We start from the raw sequence: 26,063 nt of genomic DNA on the forward strand, positions 1-26,063 counted from the left end.
CAGCCTGGACAACAGAGTGAGACTCTGTCTCAAAAAAAAAAAAAAAAAAAAATTAAAAAAAGAAAAAAGAATGGCCACATTCTCTTAGACCTTTGACTTCCACCAAGGCAGTGGTCAGGAGGCCCCTTCAGGGCCTGGATGGGTTTGGCGCCTCGTGTCGTCTAGGGAGACATCTGAAATGTCAAGGAAAGAGCAACAGACAGACATGCGGTTAGAGGCTCGAGTTTGAATACCAGCTCTGTCACATTCCAACTTGGGCAGGTCACATAACTATTGAGTTCCAGTTTGCTCATCTATAAAAGGGATGATAATAAATATATCACAGAATTATTGAGAGGATAAAGGAGATAATGCATGTAGAATTGCTGAACAACTGGAGTTATTATTTGCAGCTCTTGTTAACTAGGGCGTGAAAATGCATACCAGTCTTGTCTGTAAACCCTTTATTGTTTAAATAAAAACATTTTTTAAATGTGCTGGCTGGTCCTCGATTTGAAATAATGGAGATCTGGGAACCAGAGGAAAAAAATTCCCTAGTTATCACAGGCAAAGAAGAGTTTGAGGTTGGCCAGGGTATGGTGCTGTGCTCTGGAGAGAGATGAGGGAGAACAGGCTCTGGCTAGAGAAATGGCCTCCAGTTTCTACAAGAATGAGGAAGACAGTCCTTGCCCTTGCTGTCCTGGTGTATAGGGTAGTGCTGCGCAGCTGAAAGTCTCGGCTTGAATTGCAGAGCACAGAGAAATGCCATCTGTCATTTCTGTCTTTGGCATTTTTTAGATATGCTAGCAACAGCACCTGCTCATTTACTTGTATATAACTCAAAAATGGGAGGTGAATGTCCTAGACACAGCCTAGATGGGACACAGGTGTGAGGAAAACATTGCATTAACTTTGCATTTTTCAAGGCTTCATCAGCTGCTTAGATTAAGGAAGGATAAAAACAAGAGAAAGAGCAAGAGAAATTAAGCAACTCGTATGCTTTCTTCCCCTAAGAATCCTGATTAAAATCCAACCACAGAAGACTTGCCAGCAAGTTCCAATATATGGCGTGCTTTCCATAGCAGATCTGGCTAGTGGTTACTTGGAGGAAGGTAACGTGACAACCTATACAATATTAACTCATCCTAAATGTTGCTTAGTGAAAGAAATATAAATCTCTGAGATAGGTGACACGGGGATTTCATTTGGAACTGAAGCCCATAGTTATAAAAATTCAGTAAGGAGGAGAAAAAGAAAACAAAATAAAACTAGATTGAATCATTAATCAAAGACTGTGTGTATGGCTTAGGTTTATGTTTTTGAACCAACAGTAAATAGTAAGAAAGCATTTTCTTTTTTATGCATGTAACTAATATATTAATAGTAAAAGGACTGTTGGCTAAAGTTCAAAGTGAACGCTTTTCCTAAAACATAAAAAGCAAGTAAAATAAAACCCACAAAAACTACAGTAAACAAATGAATGCATTTTACAAAATAAAACATTTCCCTTGGAAAGTTGAGTGAAAACAAATATGTAAATAGCTTCTGTTTTTATAGTTAAAGCTTTTTAATCTCTGGTGCATAACAATTGAAAGAATGAGAACTTAGACAAAAGTATTTGGTGGATTTGAGTTAATGGGCCAAGCAAGCTTTTTTTCCTTGGCTTCTCTGTCAAATGAGTCATAGATCGAGTCTTTGGTAATAGTTTTGGCCATGGAAGGGATTTCTGAAATGCCAACGTAGTTTTTTTTGGCCATCCTTGAACTTGTTGTGATAGTATAGGCATTGCTTCGGTAACATTTCATAGAGGACATGCAAAAAGTCTCTTTCATCCCTCTCCGAAAATTGGCATTATAAATTGAATACAGAGTAGGTTTAGAGGCTGAAGAACTAAAGGATATCCATGTGATAGCTGTGAAAACAAGGGAACTTTTCTTATAGTCTTGTTCATGGGGGTGCCATAGCTGAGCTACATGAAAAGGCAGCCAGGAGAGCAAAAACAACAGATTTAAAATGAGGAACATCTTGATAGTTTTCACTTTTGTCCGAGGGACAATGTTCATTGTCCTCCTCACCGTTCGGCCATCTGTGCCTATTCTCCAAATATATTTTATGACCTTTTGGTAAAATAAAATTATGAGGACAGATGGAATCACAAAGCCCACCAAGAAGTGGATGACAGTGTAGGCAGTGCCTTCCCAAGAGGAGGGGAGGAAATAGTTACAATGACTGTCCCAGTTGGAGCCATAGAAAAAGAGCACAGGGGTCACAAAGCCTGCATCAAAGACCCACGATGCCGCAATCATTTTCTTGGCTTTTTCTCTGGACACCTTGAAGCTCAGAGGATAGACGATGGTGTAGAACCGGTCTATGCAGATGGAGAGGAGAACGTAGATCTGGACACCTGGAGTGAGATATTGAAAATATCGCACAACCTTGCACGTTGCACTACCCAGCGTCCACCTTCCAGTGGTGAACTGGAGCAGGACGAAAGGCGTGCTGGCAACGCTGATGAGAAGGTCAGCACATGCCATGGAGACCACAAAGTAGTTGGTGGTAGACTGAGTCCTCCTACTCCTATGGATGACCAAACAAACCAGGGAATTGCCGAAGATAGAAAACAACCACAGAATCCCAAAGAAGATGCTGGCTGTGGCCACTTCCCCGGGTTTCAGCACATAGTGAAGGTCTGTTTGGTTGCTCATCCAACTGTGCTCCTCACTTAATTCCATCAGGTATTGGCTTGGCAGAGGTGTGGCTGTTTCAGTGCAGCTGCGGTTTTGGAGGGGCACCAGAAGTGTAGGAATAATCAAATGTGGCTTGCTGTTATCCATTCTGTGAGCAAAAACCATATTCACTTTTTTTCTCTTAATTCTGGTTGGGGAAAAGAAGAATGAGGCCTCCTGTTAAAAAGGTGTCATACAGATTGGTTATGATTACTCAGGCTAACGATCTTATTTGACATTTACATTGATTGTCATTTGTCTTTGTGTAGGACTTGAGCGTTGGCAGGAAAACATAACTACTATCCAGAAAAAATTCTGGCCCCAACTTTGTTTTCATTTTAGGAGCTGTTTCAGCAGATCTCAGCTCAGGCTCTCTCTGGCCTCACCTTCTCTTGACCCTTAGTCATACCGAGCTCCCCTCCTACACATATCCTTGTTCCCTTCACTCATCAGGGATCACAGAATATTAGGGATCTCAAATCTGGCTCATGGTAACGGTGTTACCACCAACTGAAGATCTGCTGGAATTCTGGGCAAGTATGTGAGAAGTTCCTAATTGTCCTAAGGTTGCAAAAGAGGAAAGCTTGGGCAGATGAAAACACACAGATTTTGACTATGGAAGTAGCTAACAGCAGTCTGTGAATGTAGACAGGCTAGCTACTGGGAAGGGTGCTGTCCTTACTTAGTGTAGATTTTCCATCACAGAAGGATTATGGTAACACATGGAGCAGTCAACACTGCTACATGAGCCAGAAATAGCTCCTAATTTAATGACATCTGAAAATAGCTTGCTTTTTCTAAAAGACGATACAGTTCATGCACTAATAGCTTGCCACCTACCAGTGACATATATTTTGATGCTATTCTGTTGTTATTGTTTCATAAAATACTGACTGAAGAACATACAAGATGTCCTCTAAGAAATGTAACCAGGTTACGGGAGACCTTATGGCAGTCAGGTGATTAAAAACAACAAAAAAATGTAACTGTTAGCTAAGCACAGTGGGGAACACCTATAGTCCCAGCTACTCAGAAGGCTGAAGCAGGAGGATCAGTTGGTCCAGAAGTTTGAATCCAGCCTGGGCAACATAGCAAGACCCTATCTCAAAAAAAAAAAAAGTAACTTAAAATTACTAAGCACTTTTTAAAAGCTTATAAAGCTTACAAATCTTAGATACAAAAGAATATTTTAAAGTTTAGCCTTTATTTTGTACTTTTTGTATTATTCAGTGAGAAAAAAAGTCACACTGTTTAAATAGGCAAAAAGATTAAATAGTTGTGGGTCATTCAATTAAAATTGAGGTGATTTTGCTCACAGATTATAAAGGCTTAATTTGGTCTGAATCCAGGAAACAAAAAGAGAAACAGTAGCAATTTAATCCATAATAACCATAATAATTATGGTTATTAAGGTAAGATAAGGATAAACATTAATATTTTCAAAAATGTGCCCACTAAAAGTAAAAGCCCATGTGGGGTTACAGCCACCATTTTGCAGAGATTCCATCTGGCCTGTGGCACAAGGGGATGTGGCTCCAGCAACAGGCTTTTCTAGTAGTCACTAGTTTCTTTCCTGGTGGGCTCCTGTGTCTGCACCTCACAAAGAAACATTTCTCAAGTGACAGTCAGGATTAAATAATAGTTCATAATGAAAGAACGGTTCTTAATGACTAATATTTTCTTTTTTTTGAGACAGAGTCTCGCTCCGTCCCCCGGGCTGGTGTGCAGTGGCGCGATCTCTGCTCAATGCAACCTCCCCCTCCCAGGTTCAATTCTTGTGTCTCAGCCTCTCGAGTAGTTGGGACTAGAGGCGCGTGCCACCATGCCTGGCTAATTTTTGTATTTTTAGTAGAGACCGGGTTTCCCCACGTTGGCCAGGCTGGTCTTGAACTCCTGACCTCAAGTGATTCGCCCGCCTTGGCCTCCCAAAGTGCTGGGATTACGGGTGTAGCAATTGCGCCCAGCCCTCATTTTTTCTTTGAGGGATTTTTGTACTAATTTGTGGTAGAGAAAGAAGTGTTAATATATATAATCTTCACCAAAAAGCTATATTCAATACAAGTCTAGTGCTCAAGGCAATATACTCAATGCCTGTTCTATATTATCTTTAGGCTTTTTTGTCCATGAGGCAACCTTACTTAAGAAAGCTTAAGTAAGATAATTAAAATTTTAAAAATTAAAAAAAAAGTTTTTGCTCACCACACAGAAAGCAAAAATAATTAAACATTTTGACTACTAAAAGATCTTTAAGCATGCTGGGAAAATGATAGCCAATGGTAAGAATAGCAACCATACACTTTCCATATAAGAAATCAGGGCCAGGCGCGGTGGCTCATGCCTGTAATCCGAGCACTTTGGGAGGTCAAGGCGTGCAAATCACGAGGTCAGGAGATCGAGACTATCCTGGCTAACACAGTGAAACCCCGTCTCTACTAAAAATACAAAAGATTAGCCGGGCGTGGTGGCAGGCGCCTGTGGTCCCAGCTACTCGGGAGGCTGAGGCAGGAGAATCGCTTGAACCCGGGAGGCGAAGGTTGCAGTGAGCTGAGATCGCGCCACTGCACTCCAGGCTGGGCGACGGGGTGAGACGCCATCTCAAAAAAAAAAAAAAAAAAAAAAAAAAAGAAATCAGGACATAAGATCTAAAATTAGCATTGTCCTAGAAAATCTGGACTGCACCCTCATACATATAAGATTGAAATCATCTTTTCGCCTTCATGTGTGTAAAACCTATTAAACTTTTTAAAAAACCTGTTAAGATTTAAAGTTTAAAAATAAACTAAAACAGACAATTTCCCCAGACAGAAAACTGTTCTAACTTTTCTGGGATGCCTGTGGCCTGAATAAAACAGGAGTCCACACAGGCACTTTTCCTTAATGCGCATACTTGAAAACCTGTGAACTTCCTTCTGTCTCTTTCTTCCTCTAACAACAAAACTCTGCAAATGAAACTCAAGCTCACCGCTTTAACTAAAGCCCGGAGGCGGGGGGCCCTTCCATCATTTCCTCCAGCTGCTTTACACCCATGAGTCTGTCTGCCCATTTCCCCAGCCCAACCACTTGGAAGCAGAGGATCCCAATGCTCAGAAACAGGACGAGGGAGCCCGAGGAGTTCCTGAGTCTAGATTTCCCCTGCTGGTGGCATAAGTTCTCACTCCACCTAAAATCGCTGCAGTTCTGAATATTCATTCAATAAGCCGAGAAACTGGGCTAGGTATTAAGAAAACAAAGATCGGCCGAGCGCGGTGGCTCACGCCTGTAATCCCAGCACTTTGGGAGGCCGAGGCGGGCGGATCACAAGGTCAGGAGATCGAGACCATCCTGGCTAACACAGTGAAACTCCGTCCAACTAAAAATACAAAAAATTAGCCGGGCATGGTGGTGGGCGCCTGTAGTCCCAGCTATCCGGGAGGCTGAGGCAGGAGAACGGCGTGAACCCGGGAGGCGGAGCTTGCAGTGAGCCGAGCAGCCTGGGGCACAAAGCCAGACTCCGTCTCAAAAAAAAAAAAAAAAAAAAAAAAAAAAAGAAAACAAAGATACGTAAGCAGTGTGCCATATTATAACTCAATTTGATAATAATTATAATTCACTGCTAAGAACAGAACTTTGTACAAGGAGCTAAGTAAGACAAAAATAGGGACCCAGTTTTGCCCGGGTAAGGGGAAGAAAAGGAAAGGCTTCACAGAAGAGGTAAAGTTTGAGCTGGGAGCTTAGAGGATGAATAGGACTTCTTCAGGAAGACAAGTGAATAAAACATTCCAGGGGAGAGAGATAGCATGTGGATTGAATTTTGGGGTCATTTTTCTGGGTTGATCTTTTTTGGGGCCCTTTTCCCCTCAGAAACATAGTTTCCTTCAGACCATGCCTCCCAGAGTATATAGTTTCTAAATGCCCTACAATCAAACTGATCTAAATTTTTCCCCTGGTTACAATGAGAGGTTATATTTGCTGCATTCATGGGCAGAAATGCGGTCAGACAGTGGATAAGAATATTAGCATATCCAGAATGGTTGTGGTACCCTTGCTCATACAGCATCTTGTTAGTCCTTTACTGCAGCATTTTCCAAGTTTGTTTTTCTCTAGCTTAGCAATACAGTAGATTGGAGTCTTCCAGGCAGCCTTAAGAAATATTGATGCCTGAGTCCCAGCTTCAGGGATTTTAATTTAATTGCTCTGGAGTGCAGCCTGGGTGTCGGATGTTTCAAAGTTCCCAGGTGATCCTGAGTGTAGCCAAGATTAAGATCTGTGCTTTAGAAATACCTCCATGTTTCTGTCTTCTCCAATAAACTGTGGACTCCAGTAGGGAGATGGGGATGTTATTCTTTTTCTCCATGCTCTACAGCTTCCACTGAAGTTCTTTACATTAATAATTGCTTATTCGATGTTTACTAAATTGGATCTGTAAGGACAGAGAACTGAAATAAATGACTCTTACTCTATGTGCCTCTGCTAGGAGAATTAAATGCACATAGAAAATCACTATATATTCTCAGAGAGGTGAAACATTGGGGATTATGGTGATAGGGGAAAACATGACTCCTGATAAAAGCAGGGCAGGTGAAACTGAAGCTACCAGGTCAACTGCTATATGAAACAGATATCTCATCTAAGGGAAAGCCAAGGTAATTTAGGTGTCCTCAGACAGGTTCTTGCACTTTCCTCCCAGAAAAAAGTCTGCCATATTATAACTAAATTCTAGGGTCCCAAAGTAAAGTTTCAGAAAGGCCTCCCCTGCTCCATTAATTTAGATAAAAATATATCTTCAAGGGGGTGTTTCTGAAATATAAGATCTGGTTAATTAGTAATTCTGTTCAGAGCCATCCATATGCAGTAATTTTAGCAGTGACAAGAAAGGCTTCTTCACCTCTTTCCTGTTCGACCTATCTCTTCCCAGCCAGTTCTGAGACTACCATTTGACATACTCCCTTGGCTGAGGTATTGAAGGTCCTTATTTATCTCTACCTATATATGATCTAAAAGAGGAATCATTCATTTATCCTATTATCTACTTCTCACCCATCCAAGCTTTAAGATTAATACATGAGTGGGGAAAATGGTAGATGGGTTGTCATAGCACAGAACTGGGGGCCAGGCATGGTGGCTCATACCTGTAACCCTAGCACTTTGGGAGGCTGAGGCGGGCGGATCACCTGAGGTCAGGAGTTCAAGACCAGCCTGGCCAATACGGCAAAACCCCGTCTCTACTAAAAATACATAAATTAGCCAGGCGTGGTGGCATGTGCCTGTAGTCCCAGCTACATGGGAGGCTGAGGCAGGAGAATCGCTTGAACCCGGGAGGCAGAGGTTGCAATGAGCTGAGATCACGCCACTGCACTCCAGCCTGGGTGAGAGTGAGACTCTGCATCTCAATTAGAAAAAAAAAAAAAAAAAGAACTGGGGACTGGTTACCCCTGTAATGATGGGATCCTGGGGCACCTGGGAGGAGAATGTACCCTATCACTTTGCTTTGTAATTTTTATTTTGCATGTTTGTCTCCCCCATTAGGTTATGAGTTCCTTGAGGATAAGGACTATGTCTTTACTTCTATATCCCTGGGGCACATAGCTATTAAAAAAGGTTTAATGAATATATGAATGGGTGGATATGTTAGTAAAAATTATCCAATACTTGAAAATAAGGCAAAAAAGGACATATACTCTTAAGATCTTGCTGGGACATTCTTAAATGGGCCTCTCTCTCTGGGAGAATGTACCTGTGCTTGACTTTGCTATTTAATATTTGACTAGAGCTGAGACATTGTGAAGATATTTATATGTTAACTTGTAGATTTCTTTCTAGCAGAAAATAATAACCCCAAAGGTTATGGACTTACTGCCCTCTAGGACATTAGCCAGTTTAGTGTTTACCTAGCAATCTTATGCTGAAATTCTTTTTAAAAAATGCCTATAAAGATGCATTCTTCAAATGCTCTTGGAACCAGCTTTATTATATCATTGGTTCCTTCGGTATTATGTTAATAAATCTTTAACATATGTTCATTCAATATTTGTAAAAGTCATGATTCTAACTTTTTGAAAATCATACTTTGTTGGATGCAATGGATGGATGAATGACTGGAAGCTAATAAGAGGGAGCGGAGGACCACAGAGAGGAATGGGGCATGGATGACAAACTTTGCTTCACAATTCTGCATCAACTGTTGGATAGGTTTTTTAGTTAGTCTATTTTTTAAGTCTAAAAATACCCTAACAACTAACTTTTTGTCCTCTTGAGATTATAAAGATTCACAAACATTCTCACAAGGTATAAAGACCATTTTTATTTCTTGAGATTTGTTTAAAAATTTAATGTCAAACAAGAATTTTTATAATATTGATTTTTTACATGATTTGGTTGAAAAAAAAAAACAGAAACATTTTCTGTAGAATGGGAAGTATCTGCTGGACCTACATGGATACATATGGGTATTTACTAATGAGCAGTAAGATTACAATCATGACAGTAGTTATAGCATTAATACTACCAAGAGTTAATACTTATTTTTGTGCTTACTATGTGCCAGGCACTTTATATGTGTAACCCCTCAAAGTAGGTAAAATTACTGGCCTTGTTTTACAAATGAAAAAAACTGAAGTTCTTCCCCAAAGTCATACCGTTGGAAAGTGGTCACTCCAAAGCCCTTGCTCTTAACTACCATCAGGGTTTCCTGACCAGTGAGACCACAGAGGGCTGGATCTGAATTCAGAGAGTCAAATTGGCTGTACATGGGTAAGTCTTTCTTGACTATTCATTCAAAGAGAGGAATACAAAGTTATTCCCTATAGCCTCTTGCCTACCCACAGATACATCTGTTCAATATGCTAGCTCAGAAATATGTGACATAGTGAACAGTTTTAAAAAATGATCACTCCCACAACGCACTGCACAGAAGCTTAGCATCAAAAGTGCGCCAGACATGCTGGCCTGGAGAAATAGCCTTTCTTCAGAATAAAGAGTGTGAGAGTATTGGCATTTCAACATGCTGCATAATTAACTGTTGCCTTTTAAACAGAATGAAAGCAGAATTCTAGACTTCAATTTGAATTGAAATGAGGAAAAAATTTGATCAATTGTATTATCCCAAGTAGGAAATTATCTTTTAAAATTTTAGTTGTTTAAATTCAAGAAATACCACGGTACGGAGATTTTAAGGTAAACCCTTCATTGTTGTGTAGGCTTGATTTGTTTACATGTGAAAATGAGAAATGCCTGTAACACTAGTGGGCTGGGACTGGCTTACATAGGGAACCCTGAGCCAACTGTATATACATTTCTTCCCAACTCCAGGCTCAAAGACATCATGTTGGCATCATGAAGCAGCCATGGTAGGAGTATGGCAAACACCAAAAATTGAAGTTTTGTTTTTTTCCCCCCTCTGCAGAGCCAGTTGTTAAACATTTACCCGCACACCACTTCCAGTAGGGCAGGGCTTTCAGGGCAGCCTATCCTAAGTCCTGAACTTACACACATTGCTGAACTTAAAAATGGCTCAGGAGGCCACACAAGCTCTTCTGAAGCTTCCTAACTGACTCTCTTGCTGTGTGGCCTTGAGATAAAGACTCTGGTGTATGTGTGCTTGTGTGTGTTTTATAGAGATGAGGTCTTGCTATGTTGTCCAGGCTGGTCTTGAACTCCTGGGCTCAAGCAATCCTCCTGCCTTGGCCTCCCAAAGTGCTGGGATTATAGGTGTGAACCACCATGCCCAGCTGAGAAAAGACTGATATGAACATTAGGTGATTTATAAAACTACATAAGGCTAGGTAGCCACCAGCATGACTGTGTGGGGTAACAGGAAAATCAGAGAGGGTGAGACATGTTCTTACAATGTCGACTCAGATGAGGTTGCTAGATAAAATACAGGATGCCCAGGTAAATGTGAATTTCAGATAAATAACAAATAATTTTTTTGTAAAAGTATGTCCCATGCAATATCCCATGCAACATTTTACTGGTGTCCTGTATTTTCATTTGTTAAATCTGGCAAACCTACACCCAGAATGTAATCTTCTGCTAAAAAAATCTCATGTTTTAAATCTCACAGTGTAGGCATACTGCAAAGTGGATATGTATGTAGGCTTTGAAGTCAGTTGCATCCTATTCCTGTCACTCACTCACTAGCTGGGTGACCTTGGGCAAGTTACCTAACCCTCTTGAGCTCCAGTTTTCTTCTGTAAAATGAAGATAGTCAGTTCCTATCTCATTTGATTATTATAACTAGATGAGAGAATATACACAGGACTTAGATGAGTTAATACATGTGCATCTGCCTGGTATGAGGAAAACAACAGGTGTTATTTTTATATACAGTTCTACAAAACACCTAGTTCTGTGTCTGGAACAAAGCAACTGCTTCAAAAATTAGTCTTTTAAACCATATGACAAACAAATTTTAGTAACCATATTACACATCACATACTATAGTAATAATACTAACATTGGTCACATAATTTAGCTTTGTCAAGGGTAAATGGCTTTTGTGAAGGGGCCTGGGTACCTAATCATCATTTACAACAATGTTTTTAAGGGGGAAATCATTGAGGCCAAATAAATAAACACATTTTCTCCAAGTTGTGGATGATTTTATGTGACATGTTGTCCAGATCAAACTTTTTAAGGTATCCTACATCAAAATACATAATACAACTGGATTGAATACGCCTTTTTCAAAAGCCCATAGAATCTATTCTGCTTAAATTATTTCCATTAGAGGCTGGGCATGTAATCTCAGCACTTTGGGAAGCCGAGGTGGGCAGATCATCTGAGGTCAGGTGTTTAAGACCAGACAGGCCAACATGGTGAAACCCCATCTCTACTAAAAATAAAAAAAAAAAAAATTAGCCGGGTGTGGCGGCTGGTGCCTGTAATCCCAGCTACTAGGGAGGCTGAGGCAGGAGAATTGCTTGAACCAGGGAGGCAGAGGTTGCAGTGAGCTGAGATTACACCACTGCACTCCAACCCAGACAACACAGTGAGACTCCCTCTCAAAAAAAAAAAAATTGTTTCCATTAGATATTTTAAATAATTGCAAAAGAACCTCACACCAATGAAAACAGAGCTTCTTTCCACCACCTGAAACTCCTGGTGCCACAAGCTTATAGGCCTGGAATTTTCTCTACTGGTCTTTTTCCTTTCCTCCTTTTATATAATATATATAAGTATTCCTCCATAATAATCCAGCTCTGTACCTTTCAAACTGTTTCCTAACTGGCATCAAGCAGTTTCTCAAGCTCAGACTGGGTATATTTTCTTTTTGTTTGGAAACTCGATATGCTTTCATGGGAACATAATTTTTTTTTAAACAGAGATGTTTTCAAAACAGCTTCTTCTAACTTCACAAAATAGCTTAAAACAACCATGAACATTCCTGGCTCAGAAATTCTGCCTATGTAGATTTAAGGGACTATTACTCTCCTATCACATTTGCCTCTTTCTTTACCCTTCACATGAATTCAAAAAATCAACCTCTCTCACAATTACAGCATCATCCTTTAAAGTGAAGATCCCTATTAAAATATAAATGTTTCTTAAAGACCAGTTGTACATTTTTTTCAGTTTTATATTTTATCAGTAGTGATTTCTGAGACCTATTCATTCTATCTCTGAAATCTACGATTAGTGAAAATGAAAACAGAAGAGATGCCAAAAGCAAAAGCCGTGAGGACCATCAGTAACTGAGAGAATTAAGATGGGGTGTCATTATGAGAAGGGCCGGGTGAAGGGTGAAAGGTGAAGTTGAAGAAGATAAACTTCACCTCCTTGACAGTTTTGTGAAGGAATGGATAACCACTGGTAGCTACCCTACCCAAAGGAATAAAACAGAAAGGAGCCTGAGCTTTACCCCACATGAAGGTTTAAGTTGACCACAGGCTGCAGTCCTCCCCTAATTCCTTGTAAACAATGTTGCATGACAAAAATGTTAGGTCGTGTTGGCATCTCTTTGGGGGTGACCACCCCCACGGATGTATAAAGAATACTATCTAATATTTCTCTTCCCAACTGCTGCTTAGTAGCTTAGTAGAGTTCCGTGTATACAGGACACAGCTGCAGGTTTAATACTGAACTTCCCTACCTCCCTACATTCACACAAAATCTGAAAAGTAAGATACAATGTAAAAAAAACAAGTGCAAAAAAATTTCACCCTGGCTGGGTGTGGTGACTCATGCCTATAATCCCAGCACTTTGGGAAGCCGAAGTGGGTGAATCACTTGAGGTTAGGAGTTTGAGACCAGCCTGGCCAACATGGTGAAAACTCATCTCTACTAAAAATACACAAATTAGCCAGACGTGATGGTGGGTGCCTGTAATCCCAGTTATTTGGGAGGCTGAGGCAGGAGAATTGCTTGAACCCCGGAGGCGGAGGTTGCAGTGAGCCAAGATTGTACTACTGCACTCCAGCCTGGGTAACAGAACAAGACTCCATCTCAAAAAGAAAAAAAAAAAATTCACCCTAAGAAATGACCATTTTGTTATGATGGCATATGCAAAATAGTCTTCAATCATAACATTTATCCATTTTTTAAAAAGATCACTTAGTGTGGCCAGAGTTGTGTTCATTGCTGGGGACACAGACATTATAATAACTAGACAGACAAGATCCCTGTTTTTATGGAGCTTACTTCTAACATGGGAAACAAATAATAAACAGCTAAACAAATAAAAATGTCAATAATTCAGAAATGATTAGTGCTATGTAGAAAAAGAAAACAGAATGAGGGACCAAGAATTGACGGGAAATGGAATGGCAGATGGCTGGTTAGCTGGTTACCCAATGACCATTCCCAACTCCTCCCTCTCCTGCCTCTTAAGAGGCTAAAAAGGTAAGATAATAATTTCCCCACCATCCCTTTCAGTTAGGTGTGGTCACATCAATATAATCTTCTTCTGGCCAGTGACAAGAGAAAGTCTCCTGGCAGGGTGTTGGGAGGTTCTTGGAAAAATGTTTCTTCCTTGATAAAAGGAAAGAGGTGTGTAGTGAGTATTCTCATGGGCCTGACTGCCTCTCTGCTTCTTGCCACTGTAAACTGTCACATGAAGATGTCAGGGCACTGGGTGGTATCTTCTGAGGTCAGGGGAAGTCCTGAGACTCACCGGGACATAGTGCCCTGACACTGTGGTGCTGCTAGGACACTCACCTCCAGACTTACTAAGTAAGCAAACAATGTCTTTATGGCTTAAGCCACTTTGAGTTTTGTTACTCATCTCTGAAAGCACCCTGTCTGAAACAGGGTCTGGTTTTAGATGGAGTGGTTAGAGAAAGGTTCTCTGAAGAGGTTATATGGCAGCTGAAACCCCAACGACAGGAAGTCCGCCATAACATTCAGGCAGAAGAAATGATGAGTGCAAAGACCCTGGTGTAGGAATGAGCTTGTTATGTGGCTACAGCATATGAATACCAAAGAAAATGATACCTGATATAACCGGAAAGGTGGGCAAAGGTAGGATGACACAGGGCATTGTAGGGCATGGTTTTAGTCTATTGAAGGAAAATTCATCGCAGGTTTCAGGCAAAGGAGTGAAATGAATATGCCATTTTTTTTAACCCCCTCACGCACATTTATGTTTTAAAAATACAACTTTAGTTGCTGTGTAGGTGGCCAAGCATAGAAGCAGGGAGAATAGTTAACAGGCTATTACACCCAGCACTTTGGGAGGCCGAGGCAGGTGGATCACTTGAGGTCAGGAGTTCGAGACCAGCCTGGCCAACATGGCAAAATCCTGTCTGTACTAAATATATAAAAATTAGCCCAGCATGGTGGTGAGTGCCTGTAATCCCAGCTACTCGAAAGGCTGAGGCAGGAGAATCACTTGAACCTGGGAGGCGGAGGTTGCAGTGAGCCGAGATTGTACCACTGCACTCCAACCTGGGCGACAGCCAGACTTTGTCTCAAAAAAAAAAAAAAAAAAAAAAGGCTATTACAGCCTGGGCAACATAGTCAGACCCTATCTCTACCAAAAAAAAAAAAAAAAAGTAAAAATTTGCTGGTTGTGGTGGGAGGCTCCCAGCTACTTGGGAGGCTGAGGCAGGAGAACTGCTTGAGCCTAGGAGGTTGAGGCTGCAGTAAGCTGTGATGCTGTGATCACACCACTGCTGATGATGGTGGCTTAGACCAGGGTGATGGCAGTGTAGGTGGAGAAAAGTAGATGAATATTGAAAATATTATGGAGACAGAGCCAACAAGATTAGTTTATATGTGATGGGGTTAGGGAATGGGGATGACCCCTAGTTTTGAGAGCCTGAGAGCAAGAGAGAAAAAGTTTAGGGAGCTTGAAATCAGTAATACTACTATACACAAGTTAAATTCCCACTAGATATCCACGTAGAGATATCAGTTGGCTATTGAATATGTACATTTGGAAAAATCTCTTTTGAAAACCTGTGCCCATTTGAATCAATTCATTCATCACTCCATAAATATACACTAAGATCATACTACACTCCAGAATGTACTATGTTAATAATTAGATATACAATGGTAAACCAAACTGTATCCCTACCCTCATGAAGATCTAGTATAATTAGTTGTAGAGGGGTAGAGAGTAGTAAACAGATAAGAAGAAATGAATGTATTAAGTTGTAGTAAGTCCAATGAAAGAAGAGTAGGCTGCTATAAGAGAGCATGGTGAGGACCCTCCCCTGGGCTGGGGTCAGGGAGGCAATGGAAGCAGCAGCAGAGATGATGAAGAATGGCTCATCTAAGGTAGACCCTCCAGGACCCCTGCTGCTGACAGATGACAAGAGAGTCTAGCCAACATGCCGCCTTGGGTCCCAGCCGTGTTCCAGGTCCTTAACAACGTTCTAGGCTCCTTGAGGCCTGGACTTAGGACTGTTGTGATAGTCTGTTGTCCTGGAAGCAATTCAGAGGTTTTTTTATAGACAAAAGAACCTAAATCATCACGTGGGGAGCAGGTTAGAGAGAAAGAGGGATAAGTGGAGCCGAGAGGAACAAAGTATCCCCATAGATTTTGTTCTGTGTAAGAACCCCAGGACCTAGGAAGGGGAAGAGAGTCTCAGTAATGTTTGCCATTGATGTTCCCATCAGCCTGGTAGGATAGAGCCTTGCCGTTATTTAAAGGAAATAATGTGAGTAGTAGGCAGAATGGTTCCCCAAAGATATCCATGCCCTAATCCCTGGAACCTGTGAATGTGTTATGTTATATAGCAAAAGGGATTCTGCATAATAATTAAGGTTATGAACCTTAAAGTGGGGAGACTATCCTGGATTATCCAGGTAGGCCCAATCTAAGCACATGAGCCCTTAAATGCAGGGAACTTTCTCTGGCAGCAGCAGGAGAAGTCAGAGAGACTCCAAGCATGAGAAAGAATTGACATGCTATTGCAGGCTCTGAGATGCAGGGGCCCACATAGAGGGACCAGGATGAGGCCTCTAGGAGGTATGATGGCTCCCACCTGATAGCCATCAAGGAAATAGGATCTTAGTCTTACAACCACAAGGCACCGGATTCTGCCAACAACCTGACTGAGCCTGGAAGGGCAGTCAACCTCAGAGCCTCTAAAAAGGATCACAGTCCTGCTAAGATCTTGATTTTAGCCCTGGGAGACTCTAAGCAGAGAACTCAGCCAAACCCACCCAGACTTCTGATGTACAGAACTGTGAGATAATAAACAGTGTTATCTTAAGCCACTAAATTTGTGTTAACTTGTTACAGCAGCAATAGAAACTAATTCAATGTAGCATTTCTTATATAATTTAATTTGAGTACTAAAATTCATACCAGTCATTCTATCACCTTCTAATACCCTACTAGCACCTGAAATATTAGAAAACCAAAAATCTTAAAGAGTATAGTGCTTTCTACTTCACCTTACACATTGGGCTGGGGGCTAAGAAACCTGGGTTCTAATTCTGATTATAAGCACTGAACAAGTCAAGAGACCCCGGTCTTATTTTTTATTTCAGCATAAGGACCTTAAGTAAATCAACCTCCTTGAACCTCTGTTTCCATATCTACAATATGCATGAGTTGGCCTAGATGATTTCTAAGGTCATTTCAGCTCTATGAGCAAAAAGTGACAGGTGGACATTGTTATCTGAGATGAGCTAATTTAATTTATAACCCACCACTTTCATCTGGCAGAGAGCTCATCCTGAGAGTGCATTTTGATGGGAGGAGAGGGAAGTTGTTTAGGGCTGCTGGGGCCCAGCACTGAGAGTTTTTGATATCAAGGATCAGTAGCATGGGTCTCCAAAGGAAAGATGAATTTTACCTAGGGTCCAGCCCAGCTTTCCACAGTAATTATCCTAGATGTGTCAACAACTTCTTACTGAAGATTCCTTGCAAGAAGTGGTCTGGTCAAAGAGGACCTGCCACCTGTGTTTGCTTTCCATTCTATCTAATACCAAACCTCTCAGAGAAGAGACACATTTCTAGAACCCCCGAGTGTCCTCTGTCAGTTTCTACACGTTTCTTCCCAGTATGAGGTCTTTCAAATTCTGAAGAAAACAATTTGGCCAAGGAATTTGCACCTCACTAAATTCAATTCACTACAGCAAACATTTTTTGAACACCTGCTGTGTGCTCATTGAGTTAGTGGGAACCAGTTGTTTTGGAGGTAAATGTTTGGTTTCATTTCTAAGTTCTGACTTCAGTATCAAGAGGCAAAGACTAGACTTACTAAAGTCAAAGCAAAGAACAACGAAGTAGTTGAGATTTACAGCTATTTGAAAAGGAGGTGAAGGACTTGTTAAGAAGCGAGTATAAGCACTGAGCAGGAAGTTACTAAGCATTATTTCTCAGGAGCATTCACCTTCTGTCTCACATCTTATTCACATCAACATTCCGGGTAAATTTTGATCTGTACCACTGTCCTCAGTCAGGGTTTTCTAGAAAGCAACCTTCAAGTTTATGAAGCAGATGTTAATTTTTTTTTTTTTTTTTTTTGAGACAGAGTCTCGTTCTGTCTCCCAGGCTGGAGTGCAGTAGTGCGATCTTGGCTCACTGCAACCTCTGCCTCCTAGGTTGAAGCGATTCTCATGCCTCAGCCTCCTGAATAGCTGGGATTACAGGCATGTGCACCACGTGCAGCTAATTTTTGTATTTTTAGTAGACATGGAAAATGAAAAATGAAAGTCTTTCCACTTATATTTGTATATTTGCTCTATTATTTGAGAATTTTCAATTCTGCGTTACACCATGTTGGCCAGGTTGGTCTTGAACTCCTTGCCTCAAGTGATCCACCCGCCTTGGCCTCCCAAAGTGCTGGGATTACAGGCATGAGCCACTGCGCCTGGCCACAGATGTTAAATTTAATATCGCATTAACATGTATTTTTTCATGGACAAATTATGTGACTATATGAAAACATGGCTGAACATGTATTTTCATATATTTCACATGGATAATATATATATTCAGTATATTAGACAGTTTATAAATGATCATTTCTCAGTGCTTCTTAATTCAATCCTCTCTGCATTTCAGTAATCGTTGACTCAAATCACCTATGCTGGCTAGGCAGGGTGGCTCACGCCTGTAATCCCAGCACTTTGGGAGGCCAAGGCGAGTGGATCACCTGAGGTCAGGAATTCGAAACCAGCCTGACCAACATGGTGAAACCCCATCTCTACTAAAAATATAAAAATTAGCTGGGCGTGGTGGTGGGCGCCTGTAATCCCAACTACTCAGGAGGCAGAGGCAGGAGAATTACTTGAACCTGGGAGGCGGAGGTTGCGGTGAGCTGAGATCGTGCCACTGCATTCCAGCCTGGGTGACAGAACGAGACTCTGTCTCAAAAAAAAAAAAAAAAAAAAAAAAAAATCACCTATGAAGCAATTTTCAACCTTTCTTCTTCAGAGACACATCACAAATGTGTTCATATGTGTGATATACCCCCATATATCCAGAATTATGTGCAATTCTAGGAGCTCGACCTGTAATTCCAACCCTTTAATCTCCATCTAAGAAATCATACTGAAAAAAATATTGTTATGTATATACCCTTAAATTTATTCCAATTAATTTAAAAAAACCAATGATTATTTATTAGTAAGCAGTTATTTGCAACATGCTCTGTTTAGGACATAGCAATATATTTTGACACCTTTGTTGATATGCACGGTCCTGATATGCCACAAGTATAACATGAAATCTAAATTCTTGAAGGCTAAGGTGCTTGGCACAGAGAACCAGAGAAAGGTAATAAGAGAGAAAAGTGCACTTATTCTCTCTGCTGGGCAACTGTGAGCTTATAACTAGTTCTCCGAGTCTACTAATAAGCATTTAATAAGAATCTACTAATGAGCACTTTTCTTGATCCATAAAGTCACTATTGACATTCCAGCAAAGTTTCACGGCCTGCCCCCAATTTGAAGATTTATTTCTCTCTTTGGATATAGAACAAAATAACTTTATGTACATTTTATTTCACTTTATTTTACTTTATTGGGTTGGTGCAAAACAAATTGCAGTTTTCCCATGAAAAGTAATGGCAAAAACTGCAATTACTTTCGCACCAGCCTAATATTTTATTTTGAGACAGAGTCGCACTCTGTTACCAAGGCTGGAGTGCAGTGGTGTCATCCCAACTCACTACAGCCTCTGCCTCCTGGGTTGGAGAGATTCTTGTGCGTCAGCTTCATGTGTAACTGGAATTACAGGTGCACGCCACCACGCCCAGCTAATTTTTGTATTTTTTGTAGAGATGGGGTTTCGCCATGTTGCCCTGGCTGTTCTCAAACTCCTGACCTCGAGTGATCTGCCCACCTCAGCCTCCCAAAGTACTGGGATTATAGACATGAACCACCGTGTCTGGCTCTTTATGTGCATTTTTAATATGAAGAGGCTATATAGTATGGTGGCTGAGAGCACAGGTTCTAGACTAGTGGTTCTCAATCAGAGATAATTCTGCCTCACAGTGAACATTTGGAAATGTCTAGAGACATTTTTAGTTGTCATGTCTGAGAGAGGGAAGTGTTACTGACATCTGGTAGGTGGAAGCCAAGGATGCTGCTAAACATTCTACAATGGTTTGGGCACAGTGGCTCATGCTTGTAATCCCAGCACTTTCGGAGGCTGGGGTGGGAGCATCACTTGAAGCCAGAAGTTTAAGACAAGCCTGGGCAACATAGTGAGTCCCTGTCTCTATCAAAAAAAAAAAAAAAAAAAATTAGCCGGGCATGGTGGTGCATGCTTACAGTCCCAGCTCCTTGGAAGGTTGAGGTGGGACTATCATAGACCTAAAGGGAAAAAACTAACAAGCACAAGATAGGGTATGTTAGCCCTAGGAGTTTGAACCTAGGAGTTTCAGGCTGCAGTGAGCCATGAGTGTACTACTGCACTCGAGGTTGGGTGACAGAGTGAGACCTTGTCTCTGGAAAAAAAAAAAAAGCCCAAAACACTACAATGACAAGGACATTCCCCGACCCCCACCACGACAAAGAATTATCTGGCCCCAAATGCCAATAGTGCTAAGGTTGAGAAAGCCTGCTCTAGAGTCAGCCTGCCTGGGGTTCAAGTCACTTATAATCTGTGTAGCTGTTGGTAAATTATTTTACATGTTTGTGCTTATTGGGTGTCTTCAACAATAAAATTAGAATAAATAATAACAATACTCACTTTATTGATTTTCTATGATAATAAAATAAATTACACAAGAAAGGAGCTAAGGACAATGTCTGGAACAAAGCAAGTGCTCAACAAATATTTGCTTTTGCTTTCATTATATGCATTGAAAAAAAATTGAGAAGAAATACACCAACATTTTAACAGTGATTGTTTCTAGGTGGCAAGATCACAACTGATTTTTATTTTCATTATCCTTTTATACTGCTTTATATTTTCCAAATTTTCTAGAATGATATTTGTATTACTCTAATATCCAAAAACATGTTTTAAAAGAATGCAGATAAAAGAACTTTATTTGTGATATAGTAAAAAGAGCACAGAATTAAAAAGACCTGGATTCAGATCCTGACTCTACCTGCCGTCTGTGGACATTGAATAGGTAAGTTAATCTCTTTGAGCTTCAGTTTCCTCAGCTAAAATTGGGGCTAATAATGCATATCATAGAGAGTTGCTATGAGAATTAAACATGACAGACATGCAGTGTCTGGGAGAGTATACCAAAGGAAAGGCTCCAGGAGATGACTGCTTTAAAGGTTTGGCCAAGGGAAAATGACTCCACAAACAGGGAAACATATTCATGATGGTAACTGCCCTTTTGCCTTTTATTTTTTGTTTTTTGAGATAGGGTCTTGCTTTGTCACCCAGGCTGGAGTGCAGTGGAGTGATCACCGCTCACTGCACCCTCAACCTCCCAGGCCCATGCAATCTTCCTACCTCCGTCTCCCGAGGACCTGGGACCGCAGGTGTGTGCCACCACACCCAGCTATTTTTGTAGATCTCCCTATGACTTTTTTTTTTTTGAGACAGAGTCTTGCTCTGTCACCCAGGCTGGAGAGCAGTGGCACCATCTCAGCTCACTGCAACCTCCACCTACCGGGTTCAAGCGATTCTCCTGCCTCAGCCTCCCAAGTAGCTGGGATTACAGGCACCTGCCACCATACCCAGCTAATTTTTGTATTTTTAGTAGAGATGGGGTTTCAGCATGTTGGCCAGGCTGGCCTAGAACTCCGGACCTTAAGTATTCTGCCCCCCTCAGCCTCCCAAACAGCTGGGATTACAGGCGTGAGCAACCATGCCTGGCCTAAGGTCTCCCTATGTTTAGGCTGGTCTCAAATTCCTGGGCTCAAGCAATCCTCCCGCCTTAGCCTCCCAAAGTGCTGGGATTACAGGCGTGAGTTATGGCACTCAGCCTCCCTTTTTCTTTTTAAGCCATCCTCTCAGCACAACTCCCATGTCATCCAATTTTTTGCCTTGGCTGATGGAGAAGAAACTACGTCCACACTCTGGTCCTTCTCTCTCCTCTCCCCTCCCTACATACACCCTAGGAAGGGATCTGATCATTCCCCTGGCAGGCCCTGACTCATTTGGCAGGGTTTACTTGCAGGCAAGCTGTTGTGTCCGAAAGGCAGGACCCAGGTATCACTTTCTCATAGTCTTTACCCATGCTCATTGTCCCTCTTCTTATTTCTGCTTTCACCCCTCACCTCTAGGTTGAAATCATACTTGGCAAGGCCTCTCCTCAAGGGGAAGCCTCTCCACTTTCTCTCCCTCTGTTCTATCCTCCCATTTAGCTGGTTGAGTAGGTTGCCCCCTTTTAGACTCCAGAGGGATGTGTAGGAAGCCCAGCTAGGCTTCCAGATCCATGCCTCATGTGTGTGCTAGCCCTGCTTATCTGAGAAGCCCTGCATGTGTGGGGGGCATGTAGCACTTGCCAGCTGGTTTGTGCTTCCGTCAGGGCTGTTGTCTGTTTTGTGCAGCTCGCTCAGCAGGTAATGTTTGAGGTGAGCAGCATGAGCTGGTAGAATTCAAGGACACACACTTTATCCACAACCCCTTAATGATTTAATTAGATGGAAAAATCATAGATTATGTTTGTGTATATTATCAGGAGGGTGACTACTTTAAGCCTTACTATCTTGCTAACTTGAATTTAAATCCTGACCAAGCTTTCAAAATGCCCCAGGAAAATCTTCTTCATTCAGGACAATCTTCTTCAATCATGCCATGGTTTGGGAAAGGTAGTCTGACCCTAACCCACACTGATACTCAAGATCCCAGAGTTCCCTAGGAAATAGTCCTGCAGTCCTGTGAGCTTTCTATACAGAGTTCTAAGGACTGGGAGTCAGACTGGATTAGGAGAGAATTGCCTGAGGCAGGAGTTGACTTCTCAAGACATTCACTCTCAAACTGAATTAAACTGTTTCAACGCTGGGAGATGGAACCACCCAAAACATCAGAGGAAAATAAGACTGTTAGGGGTGCTTCCATTTAGATATGAATGAAAATATCAGGAGAACTTCATTCTAAATATAAATAAAAATGTCAGGGGGATTGGTGATCTCCAGGAAATAATTTATGTATACTTTCTAAACTGTAATTTGTAGCTGCTCCAGGGCCAGCCTAACTATATAAACTTCAGGCATAATTTTGACTGTTGCCAAGTTCTTACTACACATGTGTCTCCTCACTGTCCTCTCTATAAATACATGCAAAATAAAACAGGCATGGACTCCCAAATTGGCACCAGCAGAATATGTCATTGTTTTGAGTCTTCTCAGTCTTCATTCACAAGAGTATATTGAGAGTTCACCATAAACCAGGCCTGGTGATAAGTGCTAGAAATCCAAAGAGGAAAGGATACCATCCCTCAAGAAGCTCACTTCATGTGACTATAATAGCATCAAAGTGTTACTTGTTCCAGAAAAATGTAGATTTCAGCAGGGATCAAATGCTTAAGCTAAAAGACTAAAGTTCAATATTGTAGGGGACACAATTACGTCTTAAAGTACTGCGCAATGAAACCCTGAAGGGAACTGGTAACTTTTCTTAGTTTTTCCATAGCTTATAGGAATCAGATCAGTCATCTTTTATTATCAAAGGCCAGAAGGAAATCTACACAGATCAAAAAAAGGAAATCTTTATACCTCAGAAATTTCTAGCAGTTAAAAAAAGTTATTAGCAAATCTCCTCTTTTACCCTTAAAAACCTAAAATAATTTGCAAAAGATACCTATTCCCTTATTTTAGGTATAATATCATTTTAAAAAATAAATCCAGTCAGTTTGATATTATAATTTATATACATAGTTTTAGAAGTTTTTAATCTATTTTATTTTGAGAACTAGGTAGGTGCTTTTAAAGAAAATATGCTTAGGCTGGCCTTGCTAGGTTCTAGGATGGAAGAGTGTTTCTACGTTCGATTTTTTAAAAAACCCATGATATAATTCTAGATTTCTTTTTTCTTGAGACATCAATTGGTCACCATAGTAACATAGCGTTTTACTACAGAGATCTATACAGCACAAGGGAAACAGAACGGCAATTACTTACTGGGTTACTTGGGGGTACAGAATGTGACTACAGGGATAATTTAAGATTAAATATAGATTTCTTTGGGGATCTGTTTTAGCAAAGCAAGCTGATTCAATCTTCTAGTAGCGTCAGCTGAACAAAATTTGAAGCCAAATTGACTGCTGACATCATTTGAAATAATATGAGCAGGCAAGCAGCATAGCTCAGTGGTTAAGAGCACAGGCTTTGGGGTCAAGTTTCGTAGGTCCAAATTCTGCTTCTACTGTTTGCTAGCTGTGTGACCTTGGGAAAGTTCCCTAACTTCTCTGTGCCTCTGTTTCTTCATCTCTAAAATGTGGGTAATAAAACCTTCCTCAAAGGGTTGTTATAAGGATTCAATGACTGTTTGTGCTTAGAACAGTGCCTTGCACATTAGAAAGAACTTTCTTAAGTATTTGTTAAATAAAGACAAAATAAAATTTAAAGGGGCTCCTCTCTTTGTGCTGAAAATAGTCAAAGACATGAAAATTTGAGTTCACGGCTGATTATTTTAGCCTGTAACTTTGGTAGATTCCTTTGAGAACTTCCCCAGGGTCTTGTTGCTAGCATTTCTACAAGATGTGAAATTCTGTGGCAGTCTACTGTCCTAAATCAGAGCTGGGAACAATCACAAGCACCCCTGGTTCCAGGAACATCAGAAGGAAGATGATCACACAGCACAAAGGAACAGCACGCCTGCCCACTTCAGCTCCCCAAGCCCTGCCAATAACCTCTGGGAACATGGGCATAGAATAAGCAGCTGAAAAAGGATGAAACAGCTTTTATTACAGTGATGATGAAACCTAGTTGGTTTCGGTAATTTTTTCCCCTCTTTCCAGGCTTCAAGGGGAAAAAATCCTTTTCATCAATGAGTGCTTTGTTTCATTAATTATCACTATACACAATTTCCATCCAATTTTTCAACTGACACATACTCTGATGAATTTTCATTTTACAGAACTACCTAGGCATCTTTTCTGGACTGGTAACAAACCTAAAGCCTCTAACCAGCATCTAAGGCAGGACAAAATCTCCAAATTGCCTGGAAAAAAAGAAGGCATTATGTCCTCTGAGCCAAATTTCAGTCGCAATACCAAGGGATCCCTATCACATACCTTCATCCGGACTTGATTTCAGAGACGTTCTCTTTAGATCTTCTTGGTCAGGAATAGCCCTTGCATAGGAGTTTGGAGAATGCCATAAACCACCAGGAAAGCCTGGAAACACATTCATTTCTGTCCTCTGCCTTCCCCTTGGCTCACAGCCTGCTTCCTGTTAGGGAGACAAGATGACGCTGTGCAGGGTAGACTGTTAAACCATCTTCCCGCCCCCAGCCCCACTCTCTTGTTGCCCCTCCCTTCTCCTTTCCAAGGCTCTGGAATGTGTCACATGGGAAATGGATCATGTGGCTGAAGGGGAGAATGTGGCCATCTTCTCCCTCCCTTCCCCCACTTTTCCTTTCAGGAGCAAAGCAGCAGAAATCTCTGTCTTGATTGGCTCAGACCAAAAATCTCCATATGAAAAGGGGAAGATTCAATCACCCAAACCTCCTTCCTTCTCTATTTTCTTTTTTTTCTATCTGAAGATTTATCCTGACCATTCAGAGTTGCTCAGTATGGGAGATAAATGATGCTTTCTTAACCTCAACCCCTCTCTTTCTTTCTTACAGTCAGTATCCTGACCTGGCAAGGTGTTCCTTAACCTCCCCTCTGGATCCCCCTTAGCACACATCTGGGACAATGGAGCGTTCAGCACCACGGACAGCATTACACCCTCTTCAAGTGCTTGTTAAAGCCATTTGTCTATTTCACTCTCAAGTAAATAAAAATATTTTTTAAAATTTCCCTGAGGTCCTGTGCCTAAACATAAACCACACCATATGTTTAGGGCTCTGACTTCCCCTACTATCAGCTTACTGTTACCTTATAAACACAAACATAATTTTCAAATTTCCTTAAACCCAAAAGACCATCCCATACCTACCTCCCTGTCCCCATCCCATCACCCATCCTCACTCTTTAAATATGGTCTTTTTTTTTTTTTTGGTGGGGGGGAGGGAGATTCCTGTAACATAGTTTACTGCATGCCCAAATATCTATGCTTATGGGGAAAACCACAGAAACACATAGGAATTCTGGGGTGTACAAGTCTAGATGTCATTAGCCCCATCCCTAGGCCTCAGGCAGGGCTGAACTGGAGAGGCAGGGAGGGAGCCTGCTTGGAGCTGTTTTGTGCAGGGTCTATCCTGCTTTGCTGACGTCCTAGTTGCCATGGTGCTAGGTAACTGCTGAAGAGGATGATTTCTTTTAAAACCGGTCGCCATGGGAGCCTGCTGACTAAAGAAAGGAAGAGGGAAAAGGACTGAATTGCTGAGGAGGGATTTAAACAGTATTCTCAGAGCCAAATTGGATTGCTGTCGGTCCTAAATCTTGAAAGGAATCTAGG

The 26,063-nt window shown here is 41.2% G+C and overlaps 1 protein-coding gene across 5 annotated transcripts in view, besides 4 other annotated features; it reads right to left on the minus strand.

Annotated features, from left to right (window-relative positions):
- Nucleotides 1–1,272: 1,272 nt before the first annotated feature.
- Nucleotides 1,273–26,063, minus strand: part of GPR19 (G protein-coupled receptor 19) — a 56,357-nt gene continuing 31,566 nt past the window's right edge. For 3 of the 5 annotated variants that reach the window (XM_011520623.4, XM_011520624.3, XM_047428741.1), the window contains 2 exons: nucleotides 24,734–24,890; nucleotides 1,528–2,882 (listed from right to left, as the gene is read on the minus strand). In XM_011520623.4, coding sequence (XP_011518925.1) covers nucleotides 1,584–2,882; nucleotides 24,734–24,739 — 1,305 coding nt within the window. In that variant the 5' untranslated portion in view covers nucleotides 24,740–24,890 and the 3' untranslated portion in view covers nucleotides 1,528–1,583. Of the gene's footprint in view, nucleotides 2,883–6,965; nucleotides 7,101–24,733; nucleotides 24,891–26,063 lie in introns of those variants that run through there. The other 2 variants (NM_006143.3, XM_047428742.1) reach the window with 2 other exon arrangements.
- Nucleotides 4,173–4,422: an enhancer, noted in NCBI's record as "active region_6017". NCBI's record gives its function as "activates an Ori minimal core promoter by ATAC-STARR-seq in GM12878 lymphoblastoid cells {active_cell/tissue: GM12878}" and the evidence as "EXISTENCE:reporter gene assay evidence [ECO:0000049][PMID:35858748]".
- Nucleotides 13,800–13,859: an enhancer, noted in NCBI's record as "active region_6018". NCBI's record gives its function as "activates an Ori minimal core promoter by ATAC-STARR-seq in GM12878 lymphoblastoid cells {active_cell/tissue: GM12878}" and the evidence as "EXISTENCE:reporter gene assay evidence [ECO:0000049][PMID:35858748]".
- Nucleotides 16,781–17,609: an enhancer, noted in NCBI's record as "OCT4-NANOG hESC enhancer chr12:12829332-12830160 (GRCh37/hg19 assembly coordinates)". NCBI's record gives its function as "activates a minimal SCP1, AML or CMV promoter by ChIP-STARR-seq in primed H9 embryonic stem cells {active_cell/tissue: H9 hESC(primed)}" and the evidence as "EXISTENCE:reporter gene assay evidence [ECO:0000049][PMID:30033119]".
- Nucleotides 25,215–25,415: a silencer, noted in NCBI's record as "peak1575 fragment used in MPRA reporter construct". NCBI's record gives its function as "represses an SCP1 promoter by STARR-seq MPRAs in K562 erythroleukemia cells {active_cell/tissue: K562}" and the evidence as "EXISTENCE:reporter gene assay evidence [ECO:0000049][PMID:32103011]".

Source organism: Homo sapiens, chromosome 12 (assembly GCF_000001405.40).
Source record: "Homo sapiens chromosome 12, GRCh38.p14 Primary Assembly".
NCBI classification, from domain to species: Eukaryota; Metazoa; Chordata; class Mammalia; order Primates; family Hominidae; genus Homo; species Homo sapiens.